This window comes from Homo sapiens, chromosome 2 (assembly GCF_000001405.40).
Source record: "Homo sapiens chromosome 2, GRCh38.p14 Primary Assembly".
NCBI classification, from domain to species: Eukaryota; Metazoa; Chordata; class Mammalia; order Primates; family Hominidae; genus Homo; species Homo sapiens.
In genome coordinates, this window is record NC_000002.12 from 208,541,559 (window position 1) to 208,565,176 (window position 23,618).

General features: G+C 38.7%; 1 long non-coding RNA gene across 1 annotated transcript in view; it reads left to right on the top strand.

The window, feature by feature from the left end:
* Nucleotides 1–1,083: 1,083 nt before the first annotated feature.
* LOC101927960 (uncharacterized) overlaps nucleotides 1,084–23,618 on the top strand; it is a 282,946-nt gene continuing 260,411 nt past the window's right edge. The window contains exon 1 of the long non-coding RNA NR_136588.1: nucleotides 1,084–1,433. This is a non-coding gene — a long non-coding RNA (uncharacterized LOC101927960). The remainder of the gene's footprint in view (nucleotides 1,434–23,618) is intronic.

Here is a 23,618-nt window from a genome sequence, read left to right on the forward strand (position 1 = left end):
AATTTTTAAAGCTATGCTTGTGAAGTGTTGGGTTGGGTGTGTTTCTAAATGTTCTTTGCCAGCTGAGATCTGGATGTGATCTCTGAGATTTGGTTTCAATCTCCTTAGTAACAGAAGAATTCATCCTTCCCCATGCGAGAGTCATTTCTTATGAAACTCATCAACATTCTGTGTCAAAGAAAATGTAAGTAGTTGAGGTAATGTTTTCTTATCAGCTAGGAACAAACTTCTATCCCTACACTGTTACAGAGCCTAACCAGCTTGCTGCCACACGCGCTAGAAGCCAATACTATGACACCAGGATTTTTGGGAAAAATAAAGCCTTCTATTGAAATCTGGCCAACAAGGAGACAGGAATCCAGCTCAAATTTATTCCCTGTGCTGTCTTTAAGGCAGTAATTTGATTAGACAAGATTTAGGTGGTGGAATCTGGGATTAATAGGTGATTGGTGGAAGGAAAGGGAGGTCTGGAAAATCCTTGGGCATGCTCAGTTATCTCTTCACACTACCTCATGGATAACATGTGCAAATTTGGGGAGGAGTTAGTATGAAACATGCAGTGCAAATTCGGGTTGTGACATCAGCAAGCTGGTTCTGTGCAGAATCTAGTTGGCCATATTGATTGCAACCAATTTTAGCTAGTTGTGTTATCTTGCAAGCAGACACAGTTTCAGTGGTTTTGCAAGTTCTTTCTTTTCTTATCTATCATCCTGCAAACTCAAGAATTTCTGTTAGTCGTTGGTGTGTTTAACTCTTTGGGGCATAGTTTCAACACTATTCCTAAATATTAGGTTGATGCAAAAGTAACTGTGGTTTTTGCCTTACTTTTAACTACAAAAACTGCAATTACCTTTGCACCAACTTACTACATTCAATGACCTCACGTAAGAAGCAGAGGTAAATTTTCCAGTCTGTTAACTCTGCAATTAATGGAAAACTAATGGAAAACATTTTGGACAGCTTATTCCTCCATGTAAATGTTTAACACTATTAATTATTTCTGGATTATTAGTCAGAGTTCTCCAGAGGGATAAAACTAATAGGGCATATGTATATATGAAGGGGAGTTTCTTGAGGAGAGCTGACTCACATGATTACAAGGTGAAGTCCCATGATATGCTGTCTGCAAGCTGAGGAAGAAGGAAGCCAATAGTGGCTCAGTCAGAGTTCAGAAGCCTCAAAAGCAGGGAAGCTGATAGTATAGCCTTCAGTCTGTGGCTGAAGGCCTGAGAGCCCCTGGAAAACCACTGGTGTAAGTCCAAGAGTCCAGAAGCTGAAGAACCTGGAGTCTGATGACCAAGGGCAGGAAGCATCCAGCACGGGACAAAGAAGAAAGCCAGAAGACTCAGCAAGCCAGCTCATCTCACTTTCTTCTGCCTACTTTGTTGTAGCTGAGCTGGCAGCCAGTTGGATGGTGCACACTCACATTGAGGGTGAGTCTTCCTCTCCCAGTCCACTGACTCAAATGTTGATCTCCTCTGGCAACACCCTCACAGACATACCTAGAAACAATACCAGCTATCTAGGCATCCTTCAATCCAATCAAGTTGACACCTAATATTAGCCATCACACTGATGATCAGATTTTCAAAAACATGTTGTATTAGAAATTTGGCTGTATTTCTATGACTATTCTTTTATGAAAACTGTCTCACCAAGATATTGCAATACATCTCCATGGGCAGTTTCTTACAATGCCCACATGTAGTGACAGTTTATTTCTTTATGTTTATTTTTCCATTCATTAATTTTTTGAAGAGAAAGACTAAATTTAATACAAACTCACTAGTTCAATTCAAGTAGAGGTGATTGTTCAGAAGAAAACTTGGAAAAAGATGAGTGTTTTAGAGACTGTGGAACCAATATGAGAAGGAGCTCAGTCAAAAACTCTGACTCTATTTCTGACTGGAAGACAAAATGGTGGCCGAGACCGTCTCTGCCTCTCCCTTTTCTCTCTCTGGTTTGGTAGGACTATTTCCGGATTTTATCTGTTATCATCTAGGCTAAAGTTTAAATTCCCCAGAAAAGCTTCTTTTATAGGGTTGGGGAGAAATGGTGAAGCCCATCTCAATGTGGAATTAAAGATGTGTGAGTCATCTCAGAACTTCAAATCCTACATTTAATATGGAGATTGTATATCACAAAAACAATGTTCAGAGGCATTGGTAGAGTTGCTATCTAGATATAAGAACTGGGAAGTAACACAGAGGGAAGTAGAAACAAAGCAAGCTTGGTAGGAAGCAAGAAATTCCCAACACACAGATACTTTGGGCAGTGTAAGAAGTATCTTTATTCAATCATTAGATTTGCCCGAGATGTGTCAACTTCAAAGAAATGTGGGAAACTCATTTCTCTCTGATGTGGAGGAATTACTTATATTTAACAGAATCCCAGAGTTTTGTTTTATTGCACTTATAGTTCATTTGAAACACTTTCCTGTGTACTTTTAGAATTAGAGTTGCATCTGCCTGAGAATAATTAAGAGTGCCGGCATTATAATACTACTGCTGAAGCAATGGTTTTGAATGTTTTAGTTCATTTCACCTTAGTATTCAGTGAAAATGAATGACTAGAAAATGGTAAAAGATGGCTGTGTTAATACTAATGATTAATTGCATAGGTTTCATAATCATAACACTGTTGAAGCAAAGATGGGAGACATGAAGGCTGTGAAAACAGCATCCCTTTTACTGTGTTACTTTTACATGAATAATTGTGTATTCAACCATCAGATAAAAAGGAACAAACTTTAAAACTATGACTCTGGGTAACAATGCAAATATAGGATTCCTGTGTCATATGTTATACTAGAATAAAGTCAAAATTGATCAAATAATTATTTAAAAAGTTAAAGCATGTGGGGAATTTTTTTATTATTCAAAGTAAAAAAGGTCTTTCTAACTGATATAAAGGCCAGAACGACTCAAAGTAAAGGCTAATTTTCTCTATTACAAAAGTAATCTGTACTGCATGATCGATGATGAAGCAGAAAGTGAATATTGGCAACTCATACTAAAGACAAGTAATTCTTATAATTAATTTTATATATTTCTGAATATACAAAAAAATCCAAAGCACTTCAAGAAAGAATCAAGTAAAAAATAAAAATGTAATAGGAAAATGGCAAAGGAGCCATCATTTCTACTTAAAGTTAGAGGTAAAAACAAATACATGCAACAGTAATATATATTTTGTCTTCTTGTTTGTTTAAATAAATAAAAATAGTCTATTTTGATAGAAAAGAAGCTAAAACTGCCATGACTAAACCCTAATTTTCAGCGTGTTTGCCTAGAGATTCAGAATCCTAAAACCCGTCAGTTGCTGACACCATAGGTATATTATAAGGTAGATTACTTACCAAAAAACTATGTGTCAAAATTCAGGGAGACTGCAAATATCTGTGGTAGAGATGAAAGTGTTCTGATTAGGAATAAATAATGTATTTCCAGACAATTATTAAATGTCACATAAGCAACAGAAAGGCAACTCAAGATACCAATCTCTTTGATACAGATTAAAAAAATTTTTTTTTGTTTAAAATGATGGGAATAAATCACAAACATATAGATAGCTTCCATTTGACCAGGATGTAGCAGTTAAATGTTTCCAGATGTCACATGTAAAAGATGGATTACTAATATAAAATTTAAAACCCTATCAGTAAGAATCATATACATACCTTTTCAATTTAGTTTGTATTATTCTTCAGGTTATACCAGTCCTAGCTGTCTGGAGTTTATGGGAAAAGCAATGAATCATATAATGCAAACATGAAAGAGATCTAGGAATTATCTAGCTGTTTTTTATTAATATTGCATGTGCTATTTAATGTGAATTTCAAGTCAAAACTTTATAAACATCTTTTACATGCATCATATTTATCCTCACATTAACTGAAAAGTAGGTACACTCAGCAATACCACTACTACATTACAGGTGAGGAAACTGACCACAGAAGTAAAAAACCTGTAGCAGAGGCTGTCAGTTGCCTGCCTATGTCTCCTCTGGAGTACCCTTTCCTGTGTACAGTAATCACATGGCTTCCAGCTGGAGGCACCTGCGATTGTTTGCTTGCAGGCTTTTTCTGACTGCTGGGAGCGCTGGGGAGTAAACTCACCCCAGGAGCAGGACTTAAGCAAAGACAGAAGCTGGTGAATACATACCCCAGCTTCTTTGCCTGCCTGGTAGAATAAACTCCAAGGTGTGTTCTACACAGTCTACCAAAATTCCTCAGCAGGATTGACCCCATTTGCACAGGGGAGTAACCTGCTTAATAACGCCCCCTCTGTTGTCTTCCTTCCCTTCCCTATCACACTTCCCCACGCCCCTAGAAGTGCTTCCTGGGATCCCCTCTAATAAACAATTTGCCTGCAAATACTTTTCTCAGGGTTTGATTCTGGGGGAACCCAATTTAAGGCAAAAACCCATCTAAGAACATACATTTTGTGTGCAGCTAAGGCAGGAGTAAAATCTCCAGGTCTCTTGATTACCAATCTAGAGGGAGTTTTTTTGTATTACCTTTAGTTTTTCTCCCAAACAAAATATATTTTGAAAAACTAAGACACCGCTGCTTTTTACAAACATAAGTATTTACCAGTAATTAAAATACCAAAATGCTGGACCTTTTTGGGATTTAATTTACTCTTATGTTTTTATCATCTCAAAGACTTTAAATATAAATCTTTCTCTCTACCATTGACCTCTGTTACTCATAAAGTACCTCACTATCTTACATGTTGTTTACATTAGATAAAATTGCAATTACTCACTGACATTAATTACATGCTTTACAATGATGATAATTTAAAAACCTTGTTAGTTAATTTTGTGTTGATCAAACACAATTTCTGTTAGACCACTACCAAATGTGATGTAGAATGTTTTTCCTTGATTTATGTTGCTGTTTTTGTCACTAATTATTTTCATGTTATGTGCAATCAAAATTTATAAAATTGGAAAAGGAAAGTTTTAACTGGCTGCATCCCCCAAAGAGACAGGAAAAGTGTACCTTTTTCCTGGTGGACCTTGAGACATGTTTACATGATACTTTGAGTAGTGCTGAAACTTATATTTCATTATTTTGTATTTCTTAAATTGTTTTGCATGTCAATATGACATGTTAATTGTCAAAGAAAAGTCATATGAAATGTCAGCTTACCCAATATCACATTTTATAATAATTAACTGGTTGGGCATTGATGAAATGTTCATTTCCTAGAGGATCCTGAAACCATAAGACTCAGTGTCCCCAGTGTCCTCTTTTTTCTGCTTTACCTGTTTTGATTTTAGAACCCTTGAGAAATGTATACAGAAACATTGTTCCCAGAAAGAGATATTCTGCTTTGGAGCACCTCCATTCTATACTTCACTAATCACACAGCTTACATGGCTACCACATTCTCCAGCCAGACAGACTCCACGAATCCAAAAAATTGTAGGTTTATGTACATGAAACAATCTAGGTGTCTAAGAGACATTTTATAGATTGGGACTTTCTACTAGTAAACATCATAAGCTTTTTATAAAAGGGGTTGGTCAAGGTTATTCATTTACACTGGAGTTTGGATAGAGCAGAGAGGAAATACTTACGGGCCAATTTTGAAATCAACAATGCTATTATCCCCATCAGTGGATTTTTAGAAATTACTTTTTTGGATACATTTGATTTTCTTTTATCATTTATACTTCCTTACAAAACAGAGATGCAGGTATTACTTCTTATCTAGGAAAGTAAGCCAGGCTGCATATCCCAAGACATTGATATCCATTTTACCTCTTAAGTGTTTGATACCTACGTGACCAGTGAGTTTCTATGCCAAAGGCAATGATTTCTCATTAATCAATTCACTATATGATTCAAAATTTGAGTCAAAGTTCTCTGTGCTTTGTTTCCTTCAGGGAAGAAAAAAAAGAAAGGGAAATGAATCATTCTAAGAGCCCAGGGAAAGTTTCACACTGTGTAACATAGATTCTTGAAGACAAGGGCTTCGGAATCTTTGTGTTTTTGAGTAACATAAATAGTTCAAATCTAGACTAATGATTTATTGACCCAATATTTATAATCATGAATAGACAAGGTCATAGAAAGGCATAAGGACAGAACGCACTCAAGGAGTATGTTTAGCCTATTTGGCAAGAGGAACTACAAAGTCATATGGCAACTGGAGTGAATATGAAAGATAGTGGGTATGAAGAGTTGGGGTCATCATTGCAATATACCAGTGTCCTCATGATGATTTTCTCTTATTCAGCACTTATGATTTATACTTACAAAGTAAATAATTATATTTTTATTCCTTTTTATCTTTCATGTATGATAAAAACATCTTTTTTATAATATCTAGCTAGTTTTTGGAAGGGTTAGTCGTTTCTAAAAGGAGCAAAGTTCTTTTCCTCTGAATATTTAAATGGTTAAAATATCATTTAAATAAATGTTTATATAATGGCCTGAAGCTGCTACATCCTTCTATTCAAGTCTGGAATTGGCTCAGAACCTACATAACACTAAGTTTGTAGACGTAGATCATCAGTGACCCCAGAGGGATAAGATGGTGCCTGTAAAAGTACATAGATTAAGAAAAGGAAAATCTACTTCAGAAGGGGTGATTCACTAATGTGGGTAGTCATATTCCATGGTTGTAGAGGCTGGGAAAAAAGAGTGAGAATGTAAATTTTTAAAAAGAGAATTTAAAAAACTGTGAAAGATGAGATTTTATCCTACTTGCAAGCTGACAAGGTGGCCTGCCAGTTTCATGGCTGCTATCATAAACAGGAGCCTCTTGAGGCAGAGACAAAGGACTTTATTATTATGATATCAAAATATTTGCATCAGTTCCCCTTGCCTCCAAGCCCCAAGCCCCAAGCCCCAAGCCCCAGAGGGGTGATGTGTATGAGCCCAGATGAAAGCCTGCATACCAGGAGGTTGCATCACAGGAGGAGAACCCTGAGCCTAAGCTCACATCTTTTTTTTTTCTTTGAGATGGAGTTTCACTCTTGTTGCCCAAGCTGGAGTGCAATGGGGTGATCTTGGCTCACTGCAACCTCTGCCTCTCGGATTCAAGAGATTCTCCTGCCTCAGCCTCCCGAGTAGCTGGGATCACAGGCATGTGCCACCACACTCGGCTAATTTTTTTTTTTTTTGTATTTAGTAAAGATGGGGTCTTACCATGTAAGTCAGTCTGGTCTCGAACTCCCAGCCCCAGGTGATCCACCCACCTCAGCCTCCCAAAGTGCTGGGATTACAGGCGTGCACCATTGAGCCTGGCCCAGCTCAAATCTTTTATAACAAACAGTAGGCATATCAGCCCTGTGGTCCAGATGGAGACATTATCTTATCTTCCAAGGCTGTTTGCCATGCAGAATCTTTGAAAAGATATCCTAGAACAAAATGTCAGTGCCTCTGCTTGTAAGCTGTGCAGAAACCGAAGAGATCCTATAAAAAAGTTGTCTACTAACAGGAAAGAAACCTCAGCAGAGTGACTGGGGAGAAGTCTCTCTGATAAATGGAGGAGTAGTTCTATTTTTGCTCAAAGTAAAGGTCAGTCCAAGGTCTTGTGATGGTTAATTGTATATTTCAACTTGACTGGCTATGGGGTGCCCATATATTTGGTCAAACATTATTCTAGGTGTTTCTGTGAGGGTGTTTTGGGTGAGATTAATATTTTAATCAGAGAGATTGGAGTAAAGCTGATTGTCCTCTCTAATGTGAGTGGGTCTCATCCAATCAACTGAAGTCTCGAATAGCGCAAAGAAGCTGACCTTTCCACAGAGTAAGAGATAATTCTTCCTTCCTTCAGATGAACTGAAACATTGGCGCTTCCTCAATTTCAAGCCTCCTAACCTTCAGACTGGAGCTACATCACTGGCTTTCCTGCATTTCCTACTTATTAACTCACCCTGTAGATCTTGGGACTTAACCTCCATAATTCCTTATAATTCCTTATAATAAGTCTCTTCAGATGTGTGGAGTGTGTGTGTGTGTGTGTGTGTGTGTGTGTGTGTGTGTGTATTTCTCTGGAGAACCCTAATTCAGGGCTTAATAATAGGTAACTAGGAGTAGAAAACTTTTATTAAGGGCATACTGTATGTCAGTCTCTGTTCAAAGTTTTCAAATTTAACTTTCTAAATTCACCAACAACCCCATGAAATAGGTATCATCATTATTTTTGTCTTACTGATTAGAAAAAATGAGGAACAGAGAGGTCAGTAATCCTTCTCTATAACACACAGCCAGAAGAATACAAACCAGTCTAAATTCATAAAATGTGCTGTTAAACACTATACCATACTGTCTTTCAACACAAGGTAACATGCAGTTATGCATCAACTGACAACAATATATTCTGAGAAATGCATTGTTAGGCAATCGTCCTTGTGTGAATATCATAGAGCATACTCACACAAAACTAGATGGTATAGTGTACTGCACACCTAGGTTGTATGGTATAGCCTATTGCTCCTAGGCTATAAACCTGTACAGCCTGTTCCTCTACTGAATACTGTAGGCAATTATAACACAATGATAGGTATTTGTCTATCTAAACATAAACATAGAAATGGCACAGTAAAAATATATTATAATCTTATGGGACCACCATCATACATGCAGTAGGCAGGATTCATGTCTGCCATTGTGCTATTTGTTTTCTATATGTCTTATATCTTCGTTGTTCCAATGTTTCTCTATTTTTGCCTTTTTTGGTATTATACAGAGGATTTATATTTCATTGAGTCCCCTTGTTTCTTTTACTATATATATTTTTAGTTATTTTCTAGGTGATTGCTATGGTGGTTATAATTAAAATCCCAACTTAAAACAATCTAGCTCAGTTTAACATCAACTTTATTTCAATAATATATAAAATGTTTGCTCAAATATAGCTCAATTTCCTCCTCACTTGTGCTACTAATTTTATACCCGCTATATCTTTAACATTTAGGCTTATAAACTAGTGTTTATAATTGCCTTCTTCTGTTGTGTTTTAAATTTAACATATTTTTATATTTAACAAATTTTAAATGTACAATACAGTAATGTTAACTATATGTATAATATTGTACAGCAAATCTCTAAAACTCATTCATTATGCATAAATGAAACCTTATATCTTTAAATAGCAACTTCCAATTTTCCCTCCCCGCCAGCCACTGGCAACCACCATTCTACTCTCTGCTTCTACAAGTTTAACTATTTTAGGTTTCACATATGTGAGATCATACAGTATTTATCTTTCTGTAAATGGCTTATTTCCCTTAGCATAATGTCCTCTAGGTCCAACCATGTTGTCACATAATGCAGGATTTCTCTATTTTTTAAGGCTGAGTAATATTTCATTGTATGTACAGATTCTTTCCTTCCTTCCTTCCTTCCCTCCCTCCCTCCCTCTCTCTCTCTTTCTTTCTTTCTTTCCTTCTTTCTTTCTTTTTCTGCCTTTCCTCCTCTCCTCTCCTCTCTTTCTTTCCTTTCTTCTTTCCTAGATACAGTCTTGCTCTGTCACCAGGCTGGAGTACAGTAGCGCAATCTCGGCTCACTGCATTCTCCACCTCCCGGGTTCAAGTGATTCTCCTGGCTCAGCCTCCCGAGTAGCTGGAATTACAGGCACCCACCACCACACCCAACTAATTTTTGTATTTTTAGTAGAGACAGGGTTTCACCATGTTGGCCAGGAGATGGTCTTGATCTCCTGACCTCGTGATCCACATGTCTTGGCCTCTCAAAGTGCTGGGATTACAGGTGTGAGCCACCGTGCCCAGCCCAGATCATGTTTTTTTTTTTTTTTTTTAAAGACGAAGTCTTGCTCTGTTGCCCAGGCTGGAGTGCAGTGGTGAGATCTCAGCTCAGCGCAACCTCCACCTCCCAGGTACAAGCAATTCTCCTGTCTCAGCCTCCCGAGTAGCTGGGATTACAGGTGCCCACCACCACACCCAGCTAATTTTTGTATTTTTTAGTAGAGACAGGGTTTCACCACATTGGCCAGGCTGGTCTTGAACTCCTGACCTCATGATCTGCCTGCCTTGGCCTCCCAAAGTGCTAGGATTACAGGCATGAGCCACCATACCCAGCCATCCAGATCATCTTTTCTTTATCCATTTATGTCTAGTGGTGATGACCTCCCCCAGATTTTGTTTGGGAAAGTATCTCTTTCATTTTGAAGGACAGTTGGTTGGCAGTTTTTTCTTTCAGCATTTGAAAAATATCATTTCACTCTTTTCTGGCTTGCAAAGTTTTGCAAGAAATCCACTAATAGTCTTACTGATATTTCCTTATATGTGACAAATCATTTTTTATTTGCTGGTTTCAGAATTCTCTCTTTGTCTGACTTTCGACAATTTGATATAATGTGTCTTGGTGTGGATTTCTTTGGCTTCTTCTTATATAAGATATATTGGGCCTCCTGGATCTGGATGTACATTCCCCACCTCCCGCACATTTGGGGAATTTTCAGCTGTTATTTATTTAAACATAATCTTTCCCCCATACCTTTTACTTCTGGGTGTCCCTAAATGCAAATATTGATCCACTAATGGTGTCCCATAAGCCCATTGAGATTTATTTATACTTTCAAATCCTTTTTTTCTTTTTGCTTCTCTGACTGGATAATTTCCAATAAGCTGTCTTCAGTCTCACTGATTTTTTTCTTCTGCTCGTTCTAGTCTGCTGTTGAACCCCCTCTAGTAAATTTTTTTATTAAGTTATTGTATACTTTAGTTCCAAGATTTTTGATATTTAAAACTATTTTCTCTTTATTAAGATTTTTACTTTGTTCATGCATTGCTCTCATGATCTCTTTGAGCACCTTTATGGCCATTGTTTTGAATTCTCTATATGATGAATTGTATATTTCCATTTCATTGGGGTTGGTTTCAGAAGATTTATTTTGTTCCTTTTTTGGGGAAATATTTTTCTATTTCTTCATTTTCTTTGACACTTTGTGTTGTTATCTGCACATTAGATATATCTCTAATACATACTCTTTATGACTTCTCCCAGTCTTTATGAACTGGACTTGTATAGGAGAAGTCACCAATCAACCCAACCAGAGATCCTGGGGATGTTTGTATCTTCATGTTAGTTCAACTTGCTCTTTGTTCTTAGCATCTCCCAGGAGTCAAAGGTATGTTGGGTCCCATCAGTGTGTCCAGCCAAGTGAGACTGAAGTCAGTTCCTCAGACAGCTCCTGGAAAATTTGGGATGTTGGGTACGTAGACCATCTCCTTCTCTCTCCGGGAAAAAGTTGAGAGCTGAGATTTTTAATCCACTTACTATGTGCTGAGCCATGGGGAGGGAATATTATTACTGCTAGCTTGAGCCACCATCTCTAATCTCACTGGACCCTAGGTGGCTAGAGTATGCTGGATACATCAGTACTCCAAAATAGGTAATACAGAAGTAAGCCCTTTGTGCACCTGCTGGAAAAGTTGGAGCAATGGATGTGTGATCCAACTCTTTCTCCCTTCAGCGGAAAGCTGGGAGGTGTACCTTTTTGTTTGCTTGCTCTATGTGCCTGAGGATATAGGCTATGGTGATTGTCCTCTCAAACTACTATCTCTGATATCACCAGTCACCAGGCAGCTAGAGTATGTCAGTTCCTGTCAGCACTCCAAGAAACACAAGCCAAAGCCAGTCTTCTGAAGACTATGCAGGGAAGTTGCAGTGTTTGATGTATGGTCTCTTTCCCTTCTCAGAGTGAAGCAGGGATTTTGGGAGTTTTTTTCCTGATCATATTTTGCTCAGGAGAGCATAGGAATTATGGTGAGCAGCTATCTCAAATTTCCCTACTGGATTCAATGTGGCTGGTTTCACACTTGTTTAGGGCATGGGAGCCACTCAACCAGTTTCTGGATTTTTCACCAAAGAAATCTGTGTTTCATTATTGAACACACATTCCATGGTGTGTTCATGGGGGAAAGAGGACTCCAGGGCTTCCTATTTCATCATTTTTGCTGACATTCATGTAGTTGTCTTTTAACTCAGACAGGAAAAAAAATACTTCTAAAACTCATATCTGCTGAAGGACTTGTATCCGAAATGTACAACAAACTCTTAAACTTGACAACATAAAAATAAAAAACCCAATTTTTTAAATAGGAAAATGTTCTGAAAAGACACCTCTCTGAAGAAGATATATAGATGGCAAGTAAGCATATGAAAAGATGTTCAACATTACTTGTTAATAGGGAAATAAAAATTAAAACCACAATGATATACAATTCTACACCTATTAGAATGGCTAAAATCTAAGAAACATGATAATATCAATTGCATGTGAGGATGCAGAGCAATGGGAACTGTCTTTCATTGCTGGTGGGAGTGCAAAACGTTATAGCTGCTTTGCAAGAGAGTTGGCAGTTTTTACAAAGCTAAACTTTGTGTTGCCATATGATTTATCAATTGTGCTCCTAGCTATTTACCCTAATGATCTGAAAAACCTACATTCACACAAAAACCTGCATGTGGATGTTTATAGAAGCTTTATGATAATCACCAAAAACTGGAATCAATCAAGATCTCATTCAGTAGATGAGTGGATAACCAAACTGTGGTATATCCTATAATGGAATACTAGTCATTCCAAAAATGAATGAGCTATCAAGTCATGTAAAATTATGATAAATACTTAAATGCATATTAAGTGCATGTTGCTAAGTAAAAAAGTACATATTGCTAAGTAAAAAAACAGTTTGAAAAGGATTCCATATATATGGCATTCTAGAAAAGACAAAATTATGGAGACAAAATAAGCAAATCCATGGTTGCCAGGGGTGTGTGGAGTAGGCGGGATTAAATAGGTGAGGCATAGGAGATTTGTTGAGATGGTGAAACTATTCTGTATGGTATTTTAATGGTGGACAAATAACACTATCCATTTGTCAGAATCCTTAGAACTTTATAACACAAGCAATCACCTTAATGGGTGCAAAGTAACAGAGGCCTCTGGAACCTCAACTGTCAGGAAGAAATGTAGACAGACAGTTACTTAGTTGGAAGTGTGGGCCATCTTTTATGGAAAAGGAAGAATAACTCAGAGTTCAAAGCCAGGAGCCAAGGGTCAAGCAAAGAACCATGAAAAACCACTCTTAGGCAGCAGAACAGGGGTCCATTAGAGGAATTAGTGACATATGTCCATTTAGGTTTCAGAATTGCTATGGAATAGTATCTGCTATATGTCTACTGTTCCATATTTTTGAAAATGACTATGTATTGACTCCTGTTAATTGAGCCTTGTGTAATCCCTTTCCCTCAAACCTGAGTCGACTCCATGATTCTCTTTTGATCAATAATATGCAACAGTAGAGATAAATCATGAATCTGGCAGCTTGTACCTGTCCCATAGCCCCAGCTGCCTATCAGTTATGACAATGAATATAGCACTGTTTAGTTCCACTCAACTGTTAAAAGGACTTTTGATGAAACATTGTGTCATTGCTCTAGAGAATAATAATTTTAGGTGAATCACTGATATTTATATTGTCTCATTTATTTTTTGTTTTAAAAAGCATCGTAAAAATTGTTTCAAAATTTTCTGTTTTATTTAATCTTAAATGAGACATCATTTACTTAAAAGTACAATTCAAGAGAAGGTTTGATTGAGTGACATTTGATAGGAAGAAAGTTAGGTTGGTGTCTAGGTTTGAAATGAAGAAAATAGAACTGGAGGGAAGTGAATGCTGTTGCTGGGCAACGTGGGTTTGCTGTGGAGAAGCCATTTATTAATTGAATTTAATCTAACCTGAGAGTTGTTTATTCTTTGCTTCTTTTTTGTTTTACCCTTTTATTGAAACAGAAGAACTAGTCTCTCCAGTGAATGAAGAAATGAACTAGTATGTTAGGCTTGTGACTCCAGGATTTCAACCCATGGGTCTTTCAATAGAAATTCCATTCTGAATGGCATTAGTGCTTGATTTTCAACTTGTGGTTATTCTGAGTCAAGGAGAGAGAAACAAGCTGCCCTACCAAATGTAGCAAAACTACATGTTAGTGGTCAGGATAATAAAGAGGCTCACCATCCTCTCTCTGTCCACGAAAACTAATCAAGAACAAATAAAAAATAAGACAAAACAAAAACAAAACAACAAACAAACATAAACTCTCTAAAGCCTAAGACATGACCAAGAAATAAGAATTTAGAGCATCCCAACACCTGAATCATAAAATCCCATAAAATCATAAAATCTTTAATCATTACTCCCAGGATTTCTTAATGAATTTGGCATATAAAACAGTTTGTGATTTTGTTTTAAACTGGCTACATTATGCCTCTTCTGAGTATTCCTAAAAGTAGGAGTATCCTATCCATTATATAATGATCTTTAAAAATACGCTCCTGGAGTTCCACAAAGTAGAACCACCTGGTGTGCTATCCCCAACCAAGACTTCAAGACTTACTGCTGTGGACCCCTTAACTTTGACTGCTCAGCATTTGTTTCTCCTTTCGGTAACAGCACCTAGATTTTTTTTTTTTTTTTTTCAGAACCAGCCCTCCTACACTCAGTCCATGTGGCTTGTTTTGAATAATGCCACACCAGCTTAAGGAATGGGCATAATACACTAGCCTGGTTAATCAGAGTTGTAATAATCGGTTCTGAAATTGTTAGGTGATTCAGAACCAATGAAAATTATAGCATTTGGACTTCTCTTAAAGCTCTCTTGAAAGTAGTATTTTCTTTTCCCTAGCATGGCATATTTGGTAGAATTCAAACCTGGAGCTCCTGGTGGCCATCTTTTTCGTCACTTATAGAGATCCTCCATAAGAAGAAAGCCAACACAGAGAGGTGCAGAGAGATTCTTTCTTTCTTCGTTCCTCTTTCTTTCTTTCTTTCTTTTTCTTTTTAATAATTTCAACCTTTATTTTAGATTCAGGGGGTATCTGTGCTGACTTGTTACCTGAGTATATTGCATGATGCTGAAGTTTGGGTTATGATTTATCCCATCACCCAGATACTGAGCATAGTACTCAAATAGTTAGCTTTTCAACCCTTGTTTTCCTTCTTTCCTCCCCCCATAGTAGTCCTCAGTTTCTATTGTTTTCATCTTTGTGTCCACAAGCACCCAATGTTTAGCTCCCACTTATAAGTGAGAACATGTGGTATTTGGTTTTCTGTTTGTGTTAATTCACTTAGGATGACAGCCTCCAGCTGCATCTCTGTTGGAGAGTCAAATTACCTACAGTACCATCTAAATACTTGGAATCTGTCATTCCTGGAGCTGTGTTGACTCCCTTTTTTATTCATTTTGTAATTCGGAACATTTTCTTTTATTTTTAAGGGAGTTTGGGTTAGCTTTCTATCAATCGTAAACAAAGGAAACCAGTCGAAAGTAGTCACCAAATCAGAGTTTCTTGTGTAGATTATATTGATTATCTATTACTTACATTACAAATGAACAATAAATTTCAGGCAGCATTTTGCTTACATATCTGCAGGTTGACAGGGACCATCTGATCTAAGCTAACTGGCTGGCAGCTCTGATGATTTGGCTGGGCTTTATCACCCACTGGGGTTGGGGGTGGAGGAGATGTGGCTGATTAAGGTTGGGTTTGGCTGGACTAACTTGGCTCTGCTCCAGTGTCCCATTCTTCTCCTGAGGCCTGCTTGCTAAACCAGGCATGTTGTTCTTATGATAATATAACTGCCCAATGGGTTCATCTTGCCTGCTTCCTGGATAGAGCTGATTTATCAAGACAGGATAATTGCAATAGAGAAAGAGTTTAATTCACACAGCTGGCTGAACGGGGGACTGGAGTTTATTACTCAAATCAATCTCTCTGGAAATTAAGAGGCCAGGGTTTTTCAGGGATAGTTTGGCAAGCAAAGAAATGGGTGTTGCTGATGTTAGGGAATGCAATCACAGGGGCGTGGAGAACGGTCCTTGTGAACTGAGTCCACTTCTGGATGGGGGCCACAGAACTAGTTGAGTCAAGTCTTGGGCCTGAATGGGGCTAGTCAGTCATCAGAAATGCAAAAACTTGAAAAGACATTTCAAAAGGCCAATCTTGGGTTCTACAATAGTGATGTTATCTGCAGGAGTAATTGGGAGTAAGTTGCGAATCTTGTGACATCTGGGGTAATGCCTGGTAATCATTTGCGTCTACATCTTAGCAGAATTCCGGCTCCTCTCATTCTCCTAAACTGGTGATCTTTCATTAGTTTTACAAAGGTGGTTTAATTTTGGGGTAGAGCTGTTATCATTTAAACTATAAATTAAATTTCTCTTACAGTTAGCTTGGCCCAAGCCCAGGAATGACCAAGGGCAGTTTGGAGTTTAAAGGCAAGATGAAGATTGGTTAGATCAGATCTCTTTCACTGTCATAATTTTCCCACTGTTATAATTTTTTGCAAAGGCAGTTTCAGTAATAGCAGAGGTGCCAGCGTGCAGACTTGATCACACAAGTGCTTTTCAAGCCTGTGCCTCTGCCGCATCTGGTAACATCCTATGAGCCAAAGCAGGCCAGGTCATGTGGCTCAAAAGAAATCAGGGAGTGGGGGAGTATGCCCCATTTACAGTGGAAAGGTGCCGCATACTTACATGGCAAAGGTGTGGAGGAAGAGGAGAACCGAAATATTTATCTAATCTAGCGCTAAACAATGAGACTAGGAAATGTGACTTTTTAATCGTCACCCCAGGTGATTCTAGGCACGTTAAAGTTTGGGAAACACAGCTTAGAGCTGTAGTCCTCAATGCTAGCTAAATCATCTGGGGCTTAAAACATTCTGTTGCTTATATCCCAATCTCCACCTCTCTCAAAGATATTTTGATTAATAGGACCTGGGAATTAGTATTTTAAAGAAAATGGTCCTAGTTAAGAACTACTCTCCTAGAAAAATTTGAGTTCCAGTGGAAATCACTGTTATGCTTCTTATTTGCTGATATTTTTCTTTCTTTCTTTCTTTCTTTCTTTTTTTTTTTTTTTTTTTTGAGACGGAGTCTCGCTCTGTCGCCCAGGCTGGAGAGCAGTGGCGCAATCTCGGCTCACTGCAAGCTCCGCCTCCCGGGTTTAAGCCGTTCTCCTGCCTCAGCCTCCGGAGTAGCTGGGACTACAGGCGCCCGCCACCTCGCCCGGCTAATTTTTGTATTTTTAGTAGAGAAAGGGTTTCACCGTGTTAGCCAGGATGGTCTCCATCTCCTGACCTCGTGCTCCGCCCGCCTCGGCCTCTCAAAGTGCTGGGATTACAGGCGTGAGCCACTGCGCCCAAACCGATATTTTTTATGGAGATGAAATCAGAGGAAAGGCTGAATGGAAAACCAAACCTTATAAAAGCAGTACTTAAAGACTAGTCTACACTTTGGGAGGCCAAGGCAGGGGGATCACCTGAGGTCGGGAGTTTGAGGCCAGCCTGGCCAACATGGAGAAACGCCGTCTCTACTAAAAATGCAAAATTAGCCGGGCGTGGTGGCGCGTGCCTGTAACCCCAGCTATTCAGGAGGCTGAGGCAGGAGAATCGCTTGAACCCGGGAGGCGGAGTTGCGGTGAGCTGAGATCGCGCCATTGCACTCCAGCCTGGGCAACAAGAGCAAAAACTCTGCCTCTAAAACAAAACAAACAAACAAAAAAGACTAGTCCATAAACCAGTCTTTATACAGTATCTCCTCTGTGCTGGGTGTTGTGCTTGGCACTGGAGAAACTGTGGCAGATACTACAGATGCAGACCTGGCTGAGTCCTGGAGAAGATGGATGATAAGTAAATATTTACAAGTGATTAATTAAATAATCACAAGTATATGAAGTGTTGCGGAACACACGTACCTGTATATACTTGGGAATGAATGATAAAGAACTATTTTCACATGCAAACCAGAAATATCCACGATGAAGATAGGAAAGGAGCAAAGGTAAGAAGGGAAATGTAAAATGGGAAAGTCAGAGTCATAGTTCTATTTTATAACTAGTCTCTTCTCTAGAATTTTCTTTGTGTGTCGTTGGTTCTTAGCCTGTCTTAAAATGAATGTATTCAGCAGGAGACATTTCTTAGAACTATTTTAACAAATGTGAGAGCTGGACCCTTAAAAATACCTGTGATTAGCTCACAGCTGGAATCTAGGAAGCCTGTCAAATTTAACTTCCTTGTTGATCCTAACTGACTCTAGCCCTCTAGAGAGTAAAAGCTTTTATATGGTGTAATGTCTGTCACGTGCACGGAATTATGCATAATTACCTAATTCTAAAACTAACTCTGTTGGAAGAGAGACCTGTTAAAAGTTATAATCTTTAAATCAGAGCTAGGATTGTAATTCATTCAGTCTGGCAAGCCTGCCATTTTGGGTTGACCCTCCACCAGGTAAGAATCCGAATATAGAGTCCACCAAAAGAGAATTCCTACTAGCAAAAATAGCTATTTTTTTCTTTTCTTTTTTTTTTTTTAGTTCTGGAAAAATGTATCTACCCTGACACCCTATTTTACAAAATTATTATAATTATTTTATTGTTTCTCAATATTCAATAAAATCTATGATAAATTTGAATTCATTTAGAAATGAGTTTATTGGTATACTAATTCATTAGAGACATTGTGATTTATTAATTGGCTTTTAAAATATTTTACCTGCTGTGAGCATTTAAAAATTATTTAAAAATTTAAAATGGAAATATGCCAATGATTTTTATTTTGCCTAATCAACAGTCAGAAAATATATAGAATGCCATTCAATAGCTGATCTAAACTTTAAATTACTTTTTATCACAATACTAATTATTTTTCCCTTATCTAACCATAACCTGTTAAAAATTTTAACTTCATCTTTAGGCTGCTGCACTTATCAAATTAACATTCAAATTCAACACAGGTATTATATTTCTATTGTTTCATAGCAAATTATCACATATCTAGGGAATTAAAACAATACACATTCATGGCCGGGCGCAGAGGCTTACGCCTGTAATCCCAACACTTTGGGAGGCCGAGGCAGGCAGATCACGAGGTCAGGAGATTGAGACCATCCTCGCTAACATGGTAAACCCCATCTCTACTAAAAATACAAAAAAATTAGCTGGGCATGGTGTCAGGTGACTGTAGTGCCAACTACTCAGGAGGCTGAGGCAGGAGAATGGCATGAACCTGGGAGGCGGAGCTTGCAGTGAGCTGAGATTGTGCCACTGCACTCCAGACTGGGCGACAGAGCGAGACTCCATCTCAAAAACCAAACCACACAAAAAAATACACATTCATTATCTCGTAGTTTCTGAGAATCAGGAATCCAGTTATGGCTTCACTGGGTTCTCTGCCTCAGGGCATCTCACAAGGCTGCAATCAAGGTGTTGCAGGAGGGCCTGGATTCTTATCTGGAGACTGAGCCCTCTTCCATGTTCATGTGAAAGTATATATTTCCTTGCAGCTTTAAAACTCAGTGAAGTTTACGTCTTTTTAGAGGTCAGAAGGAGAGCATCTTTCTGACACTTCACCTTCTTTGAAAGGCTTTTCTGATTAGATCATACCCACCCAGGATAATCTGCCTTTTATTACTTGAAAATCAACTGATTACTAACCTAGTCATGGGAGTGAAATCCCATGTTCAGAGGTTCTACCTACACTCAAAGGGAGGGGATTATACTGGGTGAGGACAACAGTAGGTGGGAATCTTGGGGGCTGAATTAGTCAGGGTTTTCTAGAGGAACAGGACAAATAGGATAGATGTATATATGAAGGGGAGTTTATTGAAGAGCATTGACTCACACAACTACAAGGTGAAGTCCCACAATAGGCCATCTGCAAGCTGAGGAGCAAGGAAGCCAGTCGGAGTCCCAAAACCTCAGAAGTAGGGAAACTGACAGTGCAGCCTTTAGTCTGTAGCCAAAGACCCAAGAGCACTTGGCAAACCATTGGTGTAGGTCCAAGAGTCCAAAAGCTGAAGAACTTGGAGTCTGATGTTGAAGGCAGGAAACATCCAGCTTCCTGGATGTAGGAGAAAGATGTAGGCCGGAAGACACAGTCAGTCTTGTCCTTCCACGTTCTTCTGCCTGCTTTCATTCTAGCCATGCTGGCAGCTGATTAGAATGTGCCCACCCAGATTGAGGGTGGGTCTACCTCTCCCAGTCCACTGACTTAAATGTTAATCTCCTTTGGCAATACCCTCACAGACACACCCAGGAATAATATTTTGCATCCTTCAATCCAATCAAGTTGACACTCAGTATTAACCATCATGGGGGCCTTCTTAAAATTCTGGCTATCACAAAGTGAAACTCAGTGTAACACAGTTCTAAAAGACCTTTGAAATAAACATGTTAAATTTTGACATTTTATTTATAAAATAAGAAATTCACAGTTAACATGTGTTGTGAACTAAATGTGTACCCCCAAATTCGTATGTTGAAACCCTAACCCCCAATGTGATGGTATTTGGAGATGGGGCCTTTGGGCAGTTATTAAAGTTAGATGAAATGATGATAAGTGTGGGGCCCCCATAATGGAATTAGTGCCCTTATAAGTATTGGTTTATATTTACTTTATATTCACTTAAAAGAATTGGTTTATATTTACTGTATTAGTCCATTCTCACACTGCTATGGAGAAATACCTGAAACTGGGTAATTTATAAAGGAAAGAGGTTTAATTGACTCACAGTTCCAAATGGCTGGGGAGGCCTAAGGAAACTTACAATCATGGCAGAAGGGAAAGGGGAATCAGGCACCTTCACAGGGCAGCAGGACACAGTGAGTGCAAGCAGGGGAAATGCCAGATGCTTAGGAAACCATCAGATCTCATGAGACTCACTATCATGAGGACAGCATGGGGGAAACTGCTTCCATGATCTAATTACCTCCACCTGGACCTGCCCTTGAGCTGTGGAGATTATGGGGATTATAGGGGTTATAATTCAAGATGAGATTTTGGGTGGGGACACAGCCAAACCATATCATTCCACCCCTGGCCCCTCCCAAGTCTCGTGTCCTCACATTTCAAAACACATTTATGCCTTTTCAACAGTCCTCCAAAGACTTAACTCATTCTGGCATAAACCCGAAAGTCCAAGTCCAAAGTCTCAGCTGAGACAAAGCAAGTACCTTCTGCCTATGAGCCTGTAAAATCAAAAGCAAGTTAGTTACGTCTTAGATACAATGAGAACACAGACATTGGGTAAATACACTCATTCCAAATGGGAGAAATTGGCCAAAACAAAGGGGCTACAGGACCTATGCAAGTCCAAAATCCAATAGGGCATTCATTAAACCTTAATATTCCAAAATGATCTCCTTTGACTACATGTCTCCAGCATCCAGGTTATGCTGATGCAAGAGGTGGGTTCCCATGGCCTTGGGCAGCTCCACCCCTGTGGCTTTGCAGGGTACAGGTCCCCTCCTAGCTGCTTTCATGGGCTGTTGTTTGGTGCCTGTGGCTTTTCCAGGCACATAGTGCAAGCTGTTGGTGGATCTACCATTCTGTGTTCTGGAGGATGGTGGCCCTCTTCTCATATCTCTACTAGGCAGTGCCCTAGTGGGGACTCTGTGTGGGGGTTCGAACTTCACATTTTCCTTCCACACTGCCCTAGCAGAGGTTCTCCATGAGGGCTCTGCCCCTGCAGCAAACTTCTGCCTAGACATCCAGGCATTTTTATACATCCTCTGAAATCTAGGTAGAGGTTCCCAAACCTCAGTTTGTGACTTCTGTATACCCATAGGCTCAACACCACATGGGAGATGCCAAGGCTTATGGCTTGCACCCTCTGAAGCCATGGCCTGAAATGTATCTTGGCCCCTTTTAACCATGGCTGGTGCTGAAGCAGCTAGGATGCAGGGCACCATGTCCTGAGACTGCATAGAGCAGGAAGCCCCTAGGCCCGGCCCAGGAAACAACTTTTCCCTCTTAGGCCTCTGGGCCTGTGATGGGAGGGGCAGCTGTGAATGTCTCTGACATGCCCTGGAGACATTGTCCCCCTTGTCTTGGTATTAACATTTGGCTCCTCAGTATTTATGCAAATTTCTGCAGTTGACTTGAATTTCTCCCCAGAAAATGTTTTTTTTTTTTTTTTTTTTTTTTTTTCTATCACATCATCAGGCTGCAAATTTTCCAAACTTTATGCTCTGCTTCCTCTTGAATGCTTGGTTGCTTAGAAATTTATTCTGCCAGATACCCTAAATCATCTCTCATGTTCAAAGTCCTACAGATCTCTAGGACAGGGGCAAAATGCAATCAGTCTCTTTGCTAAAGCATAGCAAGAGTGACATTTACTCCAGTTCCCAACAAGTTTCTCATCTCCATCTGAGACCACCTCAGCCTGGACCTCATTGTGCATATCACTCTCAGCATTTTGGTCAAAGCCATTCAACATGTCTCTAGGAAATTCCAAACTTTCCTACATCTTACTGTTTCCTGAGCCCTCCAAGTCTCTAGGAAGTCCCAAACTTTCCCACATTTTTCTATCTTCTTCTGAGCCTTCCAAACGGTTCCAACCTCTTTCTGTTGCCTAGTTCCAAAGTTGCTTCCACATTTTTGGGTATCTTTACAGCAGTGCCCCGTTACCTTGGTACTAATTCTTGCTCTCTCTCCACTGTGTGAAGACACAGACAGAAGGCAGCCATCTGCAGCCAGGGAGAGAGCCCTCACCAGCACCCAACCAGGCTGGCAACCTGATCTTGAAATTTCAGCCTCCAGAACTGTGAGAAAATAAGTTTCCATTGCTTAAGGCACCCAGTCTGTGGTATTTTGTTTTGGCAGCCTGAGCTGACTAATACAACATGTATCTAATTTATTTATTGTATTTTGCTTTGTGTACACATATACATACATATACACTCAGGAGTATAATTTTATACTACAGTGTGGTCCGTGATCATTCATGGAGCTTGTTTGATGAATAATTCTTATTTTTTAAAAATTATTCTTTATTTCCTCTTTTGTTTTGCTTGTTTTATATGATCACTTACCTTCCACTTCTAGAATAATTCTTCTTTTGACTGTTTGTTCTTCAGCCACATTTTCAATACATTTCACATTAAAGTCTAATTTTCAAGGACTTACAAAGAAGTTTATTTATCAACTGATTGAAATGTGGCAGGAATATTGAATCAAGTCAATAACCAGTTGTTTGATGAATACAATGTTCTTTTCACTCAAAAATAACAAAACAACATATTTGCAAATATGTTCTCCTCCGACCACCAAAAACCCTCTATCCTGCAAGAAATAAAAACAAAACATACCAGATAATAAGTAAAGCCTAATTAGAAATAATTTTTTAAATATTGGAATGTAAATGTGTATGTGTCTCTTCATGAAAAAACCTTTCTCTTATCTCTGACATTATTATTAAAATATATTAACAGAAAATACTAATAGGAGACCATTAGCAATTATTCCAGCTAATGAAAAATGATCATTTATGGAATTTGATATTTCTGTAGGGTTTAGATACACTGCCCTAAAAGTGGTCTTTCCATGATATTTGCAGAAATAAACCAAATTACATAAGTTAACTCTAATTTCATTATTTTAAAAATTTTTTGGAAGGTTTTTAAAGGGATCTTATGAGTGATTTGAAGAGTTCTCTTGGAATTTCTGCATATCACAAAATAAAAATGGACAGATTTTAATGGTTCTCTCATTCATTAACCATAAAACATGTTACATGCTTGCTGATCTTTTATAAACCTAATGGATGGAATAAAGGGAGGTAACAAAAATTA